This window comes from Homo sapiens, chromosome 7 (assembly GCF_000001405.40).
Source record: "Homo sapiens chromosome 7, GRCh38.p14 Primary Assembly".
NCBI classification, from domain to species: domain Eukaryota; kingdom Metazoa; phylum Chordata; class Mammalia; order Primates; family Hominidae; genus Homo; species Homo sapiens.
The window spans coordinates 117,372,588-117,387,003 of NC_000007.14; the positions used below are offsets into that span (position 1 = coordinate 117,372,588).

Genomic DNA, 14,416 nt, shown 5'->3' on the forward strand with positions numbered 1-14,416 from the left:
CAACAGGCCATTTAAAAAATTTGAAGTCAAGTACTAAGATAAAATTTACACTTTAAATAAAGGTATTTATAAGCAAAGGTATTATGCGCTCACTGTAGAATATCTGGAAAAGATTAAAATCATCAACAATCTTACCACTCACAGACAACTGACTGGTACTATTTTCTCTCAGAATATTTTCTTATAATACACATTTTCTTCCAGTGTTTTTCCTATGGATATATATAACTGACATTGTGCTTCACATGACCTTTTATATTGTGCCTTTTATAATTATCATGAGTATTTTCCCATGACATTAAGTTTCAAAATAATTTTAATGATGAAAAAATAATTATATTGATGCAATGGAATTTAATCATTTTCCTGATGTTCAGTATTTAGAGTTTCCAATTTTAGAATGTTTATAAATAACAGGGGTGAACAATACACTTTTACATAATATCTTAACATCTATATAGATTTTTTGGGGTGGAGCTGTTTCCTTGATGGACATAGTTTTGAGATGCTTCTGACACCTTCAAGTGGATGTCAGTTAGCTCAGACAAAGAGTCTAAACAGGAACAGTTAAAAATTTCAAATGTGAATGAAAATTTATTATTTCTGTTCAAAATATCTAAAATTAGCAACAGAATGGATATTAACATTTTAAATTGCACTCTTTATTTTTTTAAGAGAGTCTTGCTATGTTGCCAAGGCTGGCCTTGAACTCCTGGGCTCAAGTTATCCTCCTGCCTCAGTCTCTCAAGTAGATGGGACTACAGGCACACCCCACGGCATTGGCTTTAAATTGCATACTTTAATTCTGCAAACATACTAAGTCAGAAAAAAGTAAATGCAGTGTGTGTATGCATTGTTGTAACAGATTATTTTAGAAGATTTTGACACATAGAAGAAAACTATCTTCAAATAAATCAGTAAATTGTTGAAGTCACATTACCAGGAGATTATAATCAATCAGTTCAACTTTTCCTGCTGTTAGTTTTCTTATGACTTAATGACTAATTTCTTCTTTAAAGAATGACTTTGAACAAATGGTAAGTAAAACCTTTTCCATAACAGCATGTAAACAAAGTCTGTGATTTAATAACAAGGTCAAATTCCTGGAATATATGTCTGCCAGTTTTATTTTTTTAAAAAAATTCAGTAGCTTTTAATACGTGAACTATTCAGGATTCTGCACATTCTTTACATTTATTAAATCCCATAAAGTAAATTCATATAGGCAACCCTGCCATCATACAAATAAGTTATATAAAAACATTTAATTTGCAAGTCAGTCATTTAGAACTTAGAATATTCCTTCATAGAAACAATAATGAAAAAAAGCAAGAAAATGAACAATGATATTTAAGAAGGTGTGCTGATTTTTAAGTCCTCACAAGTGAAATCCTTCACAATGCATTTAAATATTTAAGAGCTATTATGTTATTCTGAAACAATGATGAGGCATTATTTTAAATATAGATCTTGCTGTAATATGGGGATATATTAAGGAAGAAGAATGGAGAAATTGGAATAGGGAATTTTAATATGGGGAATATTTATAATTTAAGCTATCTAATAAAGATTTTAAGAAATTAGGATCGTCTATATTATTTCCTGGAATACTTCTCTGAACTCCAAAATAATGTGAAAATCTATTGTTTGTATGTTTAATTAATGTTTCTCATAATTACAATATTAGTTTTAGTCTACTAGTGATAATACCATTGCATTTGCAAGTATAGGATATAATTCATTAACTCATTTATCCAAATATTCAATAAAATTTGTCTACACAGTCATGTCCCAGGCAATGGATAACATGGTTAATATATACACCAAGCTCCTTAGGTCATTCTGATAACTTAGCCAGGTAAGGGAACCACTAGCATAAATCATGGTTACGAACCATAATATGTTTCAAAAGCATACATGTAAAAACCAAGTCTCTACTAACATGTAAGGTAGTTTTATGTTAGATATATAATCCTCATTTGTAAAATTATTTTAGGGAAAAAATCAAACTGGAATACGTTGAAATAAAAAACAGTATTTGTATTAGTAGAAAAATAAAATGATTGTGATCTCTTAAATCAACTAAAAAAAGAAAACTTAGAAAAGAATACTAAGCTGGTATTAAAAGTAAGATTAGAGGAAACTGAGGAAATAGAAAAATATTTGTGAAGATTTCTTACAGGGAACTTGTATGTACTTTTAAAAGCTCTAGAGGCAAAAAATTTGGTTTGTCCTCTGTACAGGCATTATTCCTATTCTTAGTCCCTGTGATAATGGTTACTTTTGGACTCATATGAAACCAAAAGAAGAAAGGAAGAGAGTTTCCTAAGCAATAAAAGAACAGCTTACATAAGCAAGAGACTGGGTAAAATGTAATTAACCGGACCAAGTGCAATGAGAGGTAGAAGGTGGGGAAAAACATTTGATGTACAAATCCTCAAAGTTGGGGAGAGAAAACCATTGTAAAAGAAAAAAGAATTTCATAGGCTGGTTATAAGGTGGTGTTGCTAAGTGACATAATTTCAAAATTATCTAGTTGGTGGAATGAAAACAATTATTATAGGTTATTTCGGATTATAAAATCTAGGTGAAAATTACTGAAAAGACAATCATATATCTAAAAGGCAGAAGAGGCCTTACAGGGTTTGTATTCTATGCTACGGTTAAATTCTTTCCATAAGCAAAAATCTCTAGAAGTAGGTATTATGTACAATAAAACTGTTATCTTATTTATTCTGGACCTTATATTTCTATTAATGCAGCCTAACAGTGCTAGCTTTCCATAACTAGTCATGTGACACTGTTAACCTAAACTAAATAATAAACTTAAAAACTCTTAATGATTCTTCATGTATATTAAGGCCCATCCTATAGAAATATAGTTAATCTTAGACTTTCCATTTATCCTTATTAAAGTTAACTCTATTAATTTTTGAGAGATTTGCTTCAACCTGCCAAAGCCTTTAAAATCTTAATGCTCTATGTCTCCATCTAGCCACCAGTCACATGTAGCTACCGAACCCTTGAAATCATACAGTGTATATTCTCTGACCACAACAGAATCAAACTGGAAATCGATAACAGAAAAATCTCCAAACATGTGGACATTAAACACCATACACCATGGGTTATTTAGATAATCCATGGGTCAAAGAGGGAGTCTCAAAGAAAATAAAAATATACATAGAAGTGAATGAAAATGATCACACAATGTATCACAATTTGTGGAATGCAACTAAAGCAGTGCTGAGAGGGAAATGTAAAAGACTAAATGTTTACATAAGAAAAAAAGTCTCAAAAATGATCTAGATTTCTGCCTCAAGAATCTAGAAAAAGAGCAAAATAAATTCAAAGTAAGCAGAAGGAATAGTAAGAATAACAGCAGAAATCAATGACACTAAAAGCAAAAACAATAGAGAAAAGTTACTGAAACAAAAGAGCAGGTTCTTTGAAAAAAAATGCATAAACCTCTAGCAAGACTAACAGAGATAAAAAGAGAAAAGACAGAAATCGCCAATATAAAGAATGAAATGGGGTATTATAACAGATCCCACAGCCATCCAAAGAGTAGCTGGAAATACTAGGGGCAACTTTTGGCTTGATAAATTAGAAAAAATGAACCAAGTCCTTGAAAAACCACACATTACCAAAACTCAGCCAAAGCAAAACAGATATAACTTGAATAATCCTATGACCATTAAATAAATCAAATTGTAATTTAAAAGCTTCCCCCACAAAATATCCAGGTCCAGATGGTTTCACTGGAGAAATCTACAGAATGTTTAAAGAAGAGTTAATGTCAATTCTACACAATCTCTTACAGAAAATAAAAGGAGGGGGAATACATCCCAATTCATTTTGTGAGGCCAGTATTGTCCTGATACCAAAACCAGACAAAATACAAAAAGGAAACTTACAGAGCAATATTTATCATGAACTTAGACACAAAATTCTTAGCAAAATACTGGCAAATCAAATCCAATAATGCATAAAAAGAATAATAACCCACAACCACATGGGATTAATCCAGGTATGCAAGGTTGGCTCAATAGTTAAAAATCTAACAAAGTAACCATATCAACAGGCTAAAGAAAAAAGTCATATGGTCGTATCAGTTGGGATAGAAAAAGCATTTGAAAAAATTCCACAACCATTCATGATAAAAACTTTTAGAAAAATGAATAGCGCATAACTTCCCCAATCTCATAATCTACAAAAAAACCTATAGCTAACATCACAGTTAATTAATAGTAAAAAAGTGCATGGTTTTCTCCTGAGATTGGGAAGAAGGCAAGAATGTCCACTATCTACCACTCTTATCCAACATAATACTGAAAGTCTTACCCACTGCCATGAGGGAAAAAAAAGGTATACAAATGTGAAAGGAAAAAATTAACCTCTTTTTGCAGACTACATGATTATCTACATAGAAAATCTCAAACAATCTACAAAAAGCCTCCTAGAACTAATAACTGAGTTCAGTAAGGTGGAAATGTACAGTCGAGACACAAAAATCAATTGCACATGGAAACAAATAAAAAGAGAAATACCATTGGCAATTGTGCCAAATAAAATGAAATACTTAGGTATAAATCTAATGAAATATGCATGAGATCTGTATGATGAAAATGACAAAATGCTGATGAAAGAAAACAAAGGTCAGAAATGGTGGGTCAGGTTTGTCATCCCAGTACTTAGGGAGCCGAGGTGGGAGGATCACTTGAACCTAGGAGTTTGAGACCAACTGTGGCAACAAAGTGGAGACTCTGTCTCTACAAAAAAGTTCAAAAATTAGCCAGGCATGGTGGTGCATGCCCATGGTCTCACCTACTCAGGAGGCTCAGGCGGGAGGATCACCTGAGCCCAGGAATTCGAGGTTGCAGTGAGCCCTCATTGTGCCATTGTTCTCCAACCTGGGTGACAGGGCGAGACCTGGTCTCAAAAAATATATTTTAAAAAAAGAAAACCTAAAACTTTTAGAGATATCTGTGTTTATGAATTAGTAGAATTAACATAGCTAAATGTCAATTATACCTAAATTAATCAATAGGATTCATGGAATTACTACCACAATCTCAGAAAGGTTTTTTGTAGACATAGAAAAGCTTTATCTAAAATGTATATGGAAAGAAAAAGGCTCTAGAAGAGCCAAGATGATTTTGAAAAAGAACAAAATGGGAGGAATCACTCTTCCTGATATTAAGGTTTACCATATAGTTAGAGTAATCAAGACGTGGTACTTTCAGAGGGATAGACACATAAAGAACCCAGAATAGAGAACCCAGATTATACCCACACAAATATGTGCAATTAATTTTTGACATATAATCAAAAGCAATTCAATGGGGGAGGAACAGCCTTTTCAATAAATAGTGCTGGGGCAATTATCTATCCCCAGGTGAAAAAAAAAATGAACCTCAGCCTAAACCTCATAACTTTACAAAAATGAACTCAAAATGTATCATGGACTTAAATGTAAAACTATAAAACTTCTGGGAAAAAAGCACAGGAGAAAATCTTTGAGACCTAATTTCTTAAACTGTTCTTTAACCTGATACTAAAAATATGCCAAAAGTACTGTTCTGTAAAGGGAAAATTTGGTAACTTAGACCTCATCAAAATAAAAGTTTCTGCTCTGTGAAAGACCCCATTAAGAGGATGAAAAGAAAAATTACAGAGTTGGGAAAAATATTTACAAATCACATATCCAACAAAAGATTTCAATGTAGATAACTCCCAAAACTCAACATTAAAAAACAATTAATCCAACATAAAATGGGCAAAAGATACTGTTAGAATTTCACCACAAAAAGTACACATATGGCAAATAAGATATAAAAGGCTGTTTGACATCATTAGCTATTAGTAAGTGCAAATAAAAACACAACAAGCTATTACTGTATACCCATCAGAAATGGCTAAAAAAAATCATGCTAACACCAAATGATTGTGAGGATGGAGAGCAAACTGGATCACTCATAAGCTTGCTAGAAACATAAAACAGTACTGCCATTCTGGAAAACAGTTGGGCAGTTTTAAAATATACTAAATATGCAACCACCGTACAACCTAACAATTGTCCTCTTTGGCATTTATCCCAGAGAAAGAAAATGTATTTTCTAACAGAATCTTGTAGATGAATGTTCATGGCAGTTTTATTTGGAATAGCTAAAAACTAAAATCTACTCAAATGTTCTTCAATGGATAAATGGTTAAACAAACTGTGGTATATACATACCATGGAATACTACTCAGCAATAAAAAGGAATTAACTATTGTACTGATACATGCAACAACTTTGATGAACCTCAAGAAAATTAGGATGATTGAAAAAAGTTAATCTCAAAAGGATATATACTGTATGATTCTATTTATATAATATTCATGAAATAACATCATTAAAAAGATGGAGAACAAATTATTGGTTGCTAGGGGTTGGGATGGGGAGAAGGTTAGATGTGGCTATAAAGGGGTATTATGAGACAGCCCTGTGTTAAGTACATTGAACACGGAAGTAGTTACATGAAGCTATAAATGTGATAAAATTATATATATATATATATATATATATATATATATATACACACACACACACACACACACACACAAATGAGTGCATAACTCACAAAATATGAGTAAGCCGTATGGGTCATACCAATGTAAATTTTCTGGTTTTGATATTGTCTTACAGTTATAAAAGATACCAATACTGGGCAAAACTAGGTACAGAATGCATGGGACTTCCCTGTGTATCTTTGAAATATCCCAATAATCTATATTTCAAAAAATTTTTAAAAATCATTTATTGCTCTATAATGTATTAATAAAATCAAATATTATTTTCAAAATAGATTTGGGATTATTAATAACCATTGCTTGACAAGTTCATAATATTGGAAATGAAGTTTACATATTGGTAACATAATTTCTCATACAGTAAGGCTGAAAATAGAACTGAGCTACATGAGACATGTTTTCTTATTGCCCTAAGTGAAAATATTACTACTTTGAATTTTCAATTTAACCTCTAAAATGATTTTTAAAGGTATACTATAAAAAGCATGGGATTGTTTGTAAGGTTCAATTTAGCAAGATGCAATGAAAAAATAAAACAAAAATATTTCTATGTGAGTTAACAAGAAGACATATTGTTTGCTTCTTGGTAAATGACTTTATAAAAATTGACTTTACAAAGTACATCTAATTTCAGAACACAGTATCTTCCAAAATCTATTACCCTGGGAAAATGATGGTATCAAGTAAAATGACTCAGACATTATGAAAATTAAACTAAAAAGAACAATTGGTTCTTAACACTATTAATAATATAAACAAATAAGTTAATTTTACCTGATTTCCAACTTTGTCTCTTCAGATAGCTCTCCAAATTGTATCTCTTCTACCTGTAGTTCTTTAAGAGCAGCCAGAATTTTCTGCTGGTCTTTACTGGTAATTCCATTCTAAGCAGAAATAATTTTAAGGTACAGTAAGTTAGTTATACTTGAGTAATTTAAAACTCAAAATTGCTAAAGATGTTTTCTTGATGAATTCACATCTTGAAAAAATAGGCATATATTGGAAAAATAACACACTTCTAAAAAATATGTTTTTCTTATAACTGTGATTGATGTTAGTTACAGCATTAGAATATTGAGATATATAATAACTATAGTCAATTTTTTTGCAATACATAACAACTATGATGGACTCCCAAAACAAATTACTAGAACTTAATATGTAATATTTCAAAAAAACACAGTAAAACAAAATTTCCTTCAAATTTTTATTTAAAATATTATCAGTGATAAATGAGAATTAGGCCCTATCTTTGTTTGTATTCTACCTTTAGTGTTAAACTAAATTTTCTATACTGGATTTAGTTTTGTAGTATGCTTACTGATTTTTAGTGATATTAAAAATGTCAAGTTTCCAATGTGGTCATGCAGTCAGATCATTGCTTTTTACATATGCTATTTATCAAAGTGTCTCTAATACATCCCGCAGCTATATGTTATTAGATAATACTAGATGGCAAAATAAAAGGTCTCAGTTTTGAGAACCAAACAAAAGGCTTGGGAGACGTGTTAATACCCATATACATAAAAAAACTATCTCTTATTTGTAAGTGCCCCATTTTACAAATCTATTGCACATTTGAAACTGAAGGATCAGTTCTAGCTGTCATGACAATCTGAAAAAAACAAAAACAAAACCCAAACTATAAGTCATTACATGTTCTTAAAGTAACTTAATACTAACACAAGATTTTAGATACGGTTATCCATAATCATATCTAATCAAGGACACAGTAGAAGATCAATCTTTTGTCTATAGCCCTGGCATTTTAAAAAGAGAGAAGAAAAGGATCCACAATTTTAAAAACATCAAACAATGTATCGGGAATTTTTGAAATTGATACTAACCTTTGTAAATTCATCTTCCCTCATGGTCAAAAGATGTCTTAACGTTATATCCCTTTCCTGTATAAAAGGAAAAAAAGGCCACCTTTCCATATAATTAAAATAGTAGAAGGAGAAGTAGGCAAATGTTCATAAGTTAGTTACTTGCTTCACTCTGAAGCAAATTCCAATTTTCTAGAGGGGACAGGATATATACATGCAGAACTATGCTACTGAGTAGACAGTAATGAGTATCATAATAATTATATTCACCTAAAAAGTATAAATATAGCTAGTTTTCCAGATTCAAATGATTACCATTCATATTTGCTTACATTAAAAGAAAAGCAGTTCTATAAAATTTGGCAGAAATTATGTTTTATGAATATTTTAAATTTCTGACTGTATCACATTAAACCAACATGTAGTTTTACTCAAGATTTCTCCAAATAGGGAGACATTTCAAGATTATACAATGAAGCACAACTCTGAAATATTTTAACAGAATGTGCACACTCCCAAGAAGAGTCTATCTTAAATAGTGCTTTACTGCTTCAGTATCTCCACCTAGCTGGTAACAACTGTCATGGACTCAAACCCCATAATGTATGCTTAAAACACCCACACAGTGCTTGGCATATGATCTGATTTAACCTTCATGACAACCCAACACTAGGTATTATTATCCTTATGAAGAAAATGAGATATTTAAGTCACATATTTCAGTGATTAAACATTAGAGCAAGAATCTGATACCAGGTGTTTGGTTTAAAATCACGCTCTTCCAATATTCTACTCAAGAAGATGAGCAACTACAGAAACAAACTAAGGGCTCAGGTGTATATGAAGGTTAGGCAGTGGGTAAAAACTGTTTAATCTCAGATTCTAATTTATGTAAATTTCTAGAATAATACATTTTTGCAATGTTTTTCACAAATTTAAAATTGGGATGTACTACAAATTATGGTGAAAAGTAAATTGGCAGTTATTCATAGACATGTTTATGAATTAATATCTAACATTATATTAACCAACAAATTAACATATATGCATAACTCACTGTAGGTTATATAAGATCTTACCTTTAGTAAATCTGTCATATGTTCAAGTCCAAGACCATGTAAAAATACTTCCAGATCTCCAAATGCTGTATATGAACTGTATACATTTATAGCAATGTCAATTTCAGAACAGATTATAAATGCACAAGCGATAAATATACATTTATATTGCAAGAGAATATGAATAATAATGAATTCATGTAGAATATATTTGCAATCTGCACACCAGACCTATGCTATATCAAAGGAATAAGTAAGGTTTTGTGACTGAAGATATATGAGGAGTATAACTCATCTTTCCCCAAATGAAAATATATGCCAGTATGTACTCCTTGTGAAATTTCTGCACATAAAAATCTCCTCAGCCTGGTACAGTAGCATACACCTGCAGTCCCAGCTACTTGGGAGGCTGTGGCGGGAGAACTGCTTGAGCACAGGTGTTTGAGGCAAAAAAACCCACAAAAAACAAAAAATGAAAAAAAACCACACCTCTTTAATTGCAATAAGTAAAATTTAAGTAACTTTAAATGGGGTAAGGAGAGAATTATTTTTGGCCATGTACTCAACAGTGGTGTTCTGGGGGGAAAAGTATATGTTTAATTTTAGCTTATAAAATTAGAACTGTACTAAAAATAATTAGAAAACAAGGTGTTATACTGTTTGAACACTAATATAATTTCAGAACCTTTTAAAAATAGATTTTATTGTTGATATCTTACTTAAAGTTTACATTTAAAGTTATTATCATTAGTGTTAGTACATAAAAATGAATAAAAATTTTCTAAAATTCTGGAGAACACTAAAAACCCAGACATTTAAAAATGCTTGTAAACATTTAAAATATCATATATTTTAAATAAGTCACCACATTTACTACAATAAAATATACACAAATTTTACTTATAGGTATTCTGTTGAACTAAAACATGCTATATTACCTAAAAATGTGATCTTTTTCTCTATCAGAATCTGTTGTCAATATTTTACAAATAGTGTCTTCTTTAGTTAGCTGTTGAAGTTTTCCTTCCAATGGATTTAAAGTAAAAGAAAGTAAGTTGAAGATCTGAAAAAAGTTAACATCATTCAAATATAATTAACATTGCATACTGTAACTTACACTTAAAAGAAACTGAACATACGATTATCTCATATCCAGAAAGGAAATTTTAGCAAGTAAGTGGGACAGATGTTTCACAATTTACTACCCTGATAACAACTTTTAAAAAAATGATATATCACAGTTGTATATATTTTGGGGGGTACATGCGATATTTTGATACACATATACAATGTATAATAAACAAATCAGGGTAATTGGGATATCTAAGTGCTTCCTTAACCTACAATAATCAGAAAAGAAAAAAGTACATCTAATTCAAAATAGTAAAAATTAAAGGAAGATAGTAATTAATATTTTTGGTAAGATACATAGCGAAACTAAAAATTCCATTTGGATAAATGACTCAGATTAAATATTAAGATAGTACTTTAAAAACATTGCTAAGTGGCAAGAGAGTAATGAGCATGACTAAATGTATACAAATCCTAACTGAACACCTCAAAAAGATATGGTGAAATTCCTGAGTTTTAAAATCTAACCTCTCAGGAAGTCAAGGTTATATCACATACTCAGCCAAAATACAAGATCAAATCTCATTTCAATAAATGATTTATGACTCAAAATAACCTTTGATGTTCATAAACTTCTTATGTCAAGTTTGGTGTCATCTACTCTACATTTAACAATGTAATAAAATAATTTTAAGTTTTTGAATTTTCAAAGTTTGGAAGAAAAATGGTAAATTCCTTTTTGAAATTCTACAGGGCTGTAGTGATTACTGTTTATCCTATAAAAATTCTGAAAATATTAGAATAATATTTGGAAAATGATAGCCATGTTTATCAGATTGCTTAAAAGGTTAGAGGAAGTTACTTTATATGCAGTAAAAGTGGCTTGGTTTGATGATTACATGACGGAATCTTTGGAATTTTACGTGCTTTCAAATTCGGGAACTCAGTGTTACAAACTCTTGAACTAAACAACTTAGTTTTATAATTGTACTATACTTGATCCTTGCTTAGAAGTTACAGACTTGTGGCTAAAGCTTTAATCTTCAGACCAAAAGTTTATATTGATAAAGTAATTTAATGTATGGCAAGTATTTATTATTGAGTTTAACATCTGAATGACAGATTATACATCCAGGTATATTATCACTTTATCGTAAGCCCTGTCACACATATAAGAGCAAATGTTGTTTAAGGAATTTAATTTTTAAATTGTTTAATACATTAATTAAACTTACAAAAGAATGTTTGAGTTACATGTTCAAACTGGCATTTTACTAGCTTTCACTAAATTACTTTTAAAATTCTGGACCAGTTTAAAATGTTTAAATAGTATATTACAATTTTATTCCTGGGGCCAGAATAAGATTTTATTACTCTTTTATAGAGCTTTTAAATTACTATAAGTGCTTCTTGTTTCATAGAAGATGAATACTCTAGCAAAATAAAGTTCTCATTACCTGGCTGGAGGAAAGATACATATTTAAACATTTAATAATTGCCAGATACACTATAATTACACTTTTAATTCTAACAGAATAATACAAAAGTTCTACAAATGATAATGTGATATGCCACAGAAAATAAGTTTAATATGTACAGAAGGATACCTCATGATGTTTGTTTCTTTTTGCAATCTCACTTGGCATCTTTCCATCTTTGGTTTGTAGCATTTTATTAGCTCCAAGTTCAAGCAACTTCAAAACTATATTTTTATGACCCTGACGTGCTGCCCACGTTAAAGCCTGTAAGTAGGGGGAAAAGAAGATTGTTTAAAGAGAAGGAGTGTATATGAGACAGACAGGAAAAGTTTTCAACAGTATTTATGACACAATAAAAAAGAGAACATAGTTAATTAATGGAATGATGCAATCTCTTCATTTTACAATATAATGTAAACATATTTCCAAAGTTGTAATTGCAAAGCTGACTGCAAAGCTCATTGATTTTTTAAAACCAGTGTTTTATACAATTAACTGATGTTAAGGAATAAAATGATTTATTTGCCAATCACTGAAGGGTTTTCTACAAAAAATAATTCTTATGTATATTTTAGAGCCCAGATTTTGCTGTGTGTTACAATTTTTTTTTTTAATCAAGAGTAAGGACTACGAGAGTCAGTTAATTCCTCATTTCTATTTCTTTTCTTTTCTTTTTTTTTGAGATGGAGTTTCGCTCTTGTTGCCCAGGCTGAAGTGCAGTGGTGCGATCTTGGCTCACTACAACCTCTGCCTCTTGGGTTCAAGCGATTCTCCTGCCTCAGCCTCCTGAGTAGCTGGGATTAAAGGCACGTGCCACCATGCCTGGCTAATTTTTTGTATTTTTAGTAGAGACAGGGTTTCACCATGTTGGCCAGGCTGGTCTCAAATTCCTAACCTCAAATGATCCGCCTGCCTCGGCCTCCCAAAGTGCAGGGATTACAGGTGTGAGTCACCATACCCTTCTATTTCAACTGTTGCTTTTTTTCACCAGATAGCAATTATATTCCAGCCCTTTTGTAATTATTACTTCTTAAAATTCTTTTTTTGTAGATTACTGATAATAACAGAAACAAAAAGAAACATTGTAAAAATGTTTCTCACAGTGTAACCATTCTCATCCTGGGTATTAACTTCTGCTCCATGAGCAACAAGGAGAGCAACAACCTGGGTGTGACCATCTCGAGCAGCATACATGATTGGGGTCATAAGTCTCCTAAGGAGGAGGAAGAAAGGAAACATTTGTGTTAATGCTGCCATTAATCTCTCATTTTCATTAATTTAACCATACACAATACCACCAGTACTGCTTTGAAAACGAAAAGAAATGAAAGCTTTTGCTAAATCAGGTGATTTAAAAATCCAACCTTCCTGCAAGTAAGTACAAGTGAAAGAGATGACACTTTTAAAGTGCTGAATGCTTACACAGCACCCTCTAGTGAATAAATGTATTAAAAATACATGAAATAAGCCACGCTTTCTACTATGAAGTTCACTAATATACATATTCATCTAGAAAATTATCAGTGTACCCACACTATGCTTATGCTAGGAATATAGTAATGAATGACACAAATAAGGTCCCTGCCCTCAAAGGATTTGCTAATACTAAATGCTTATTACATTTTATTTAGAGGATTGCTGAAACAAAAATGTAAATTTAAAAACTTCATTCCTTAATGTATTCTATTATGATTCTACTTTAGTCTGAGACTGAAAGAATTTTATTCTGACTGGGAGACTTACTATATATAATTAGAAAAGAGATAAGTCCAATAGATTAACCAGCTTAATATTCTCTTAAGAGTACTTTCTGGGAGAGGATAGTGGTTTCTCTGTAGTTTATCATTTCCCAAAATTAGAGATTCAATCCTTCTACTCCTGGAAGTTAGTCACCTTCTGGGCCTATTCCAAGGACACCAGATTTTATCAGCTCTACTTGGGCTGAACATAACATCATGGTCTGTTTTAAAGGAGGTCTGAGACTCTGAGCCCAATTTTCCTGAGTCGTCCTCAAGATCTGATTTATACACAAAGAACTTTGGAAAAGAAAAATAAATAATTTCAGAGTTCCATGTTTTGATCTTACCAAGAAAGTTTTTATTGGTTATTCACATTACATATACAACCTACCAATAGACTATTTCTCTGTAAGGTTTGTTAGCATAAGGTTATACCCTGAAATCTGAACACTTCACACCTATGTCCTTGTTAGCACAATTCATATATATCTGTTTCTTATATTTCATGGTATATTATAATTTGAATGTTTTATGTGAAATTATATGCTAAATCAGTTGTAAAAGATTGCCTCCTCTACCTTGAATATCCCTTACATAGTGGCTTCATTAGATAGACAATCTTTATGAGGTAAAGATTGAATTTCCTGGATAACTTAAGCAAACATAAA

At 31.2% G+C, this 14,416-nt stretch overlaps 1 protein-coding gene across 3 annotated transcripts in view; it reads right to left on the reverse strand.

The window, feature by feature from the left end:
- ASZ1 (ankyrin repeat, SAM and basic leucine zipper domain containing 1) overlaps positions 1–14,416 on the reverse strand; it is a 64,272-nt gene that overhangs the window by 9,366 nt on the left and 40,490 nt on the right. For 2 of the 3 annotated variants that reach the window (NM_001301821.2, NM_130768.3), the window contains exons 5-10: positions 13,111–13,222; positions 12,139–12,273; positions 10,399–10,523; positions 9,482–9,557; positions 8,424–8,480; positions 7,351–7,460 (exon numbers count right to left, since the gene is read on the reverse strand). In NM_001301821.2, the coding sequence (NP_001288750.1) occupies positions 7,351–7,460; positions 8,424–8,480; positions 9,482–9,557; positions 10,399–10,523; positions 12,139–12,273; positions 13,111–13,222 (615 nt within the window). The remainder of the gene's footprint in view (positions 1–7,350; positions 7,461–8,423; positions 8,481–9,481; positions 9,558–10,398; positions 10,524–12,138; positions 12,274–13,110; positions 13,223–14,416) is intronic. The other variant, NM_001301822.2, reaches the window with a different exon arrangement.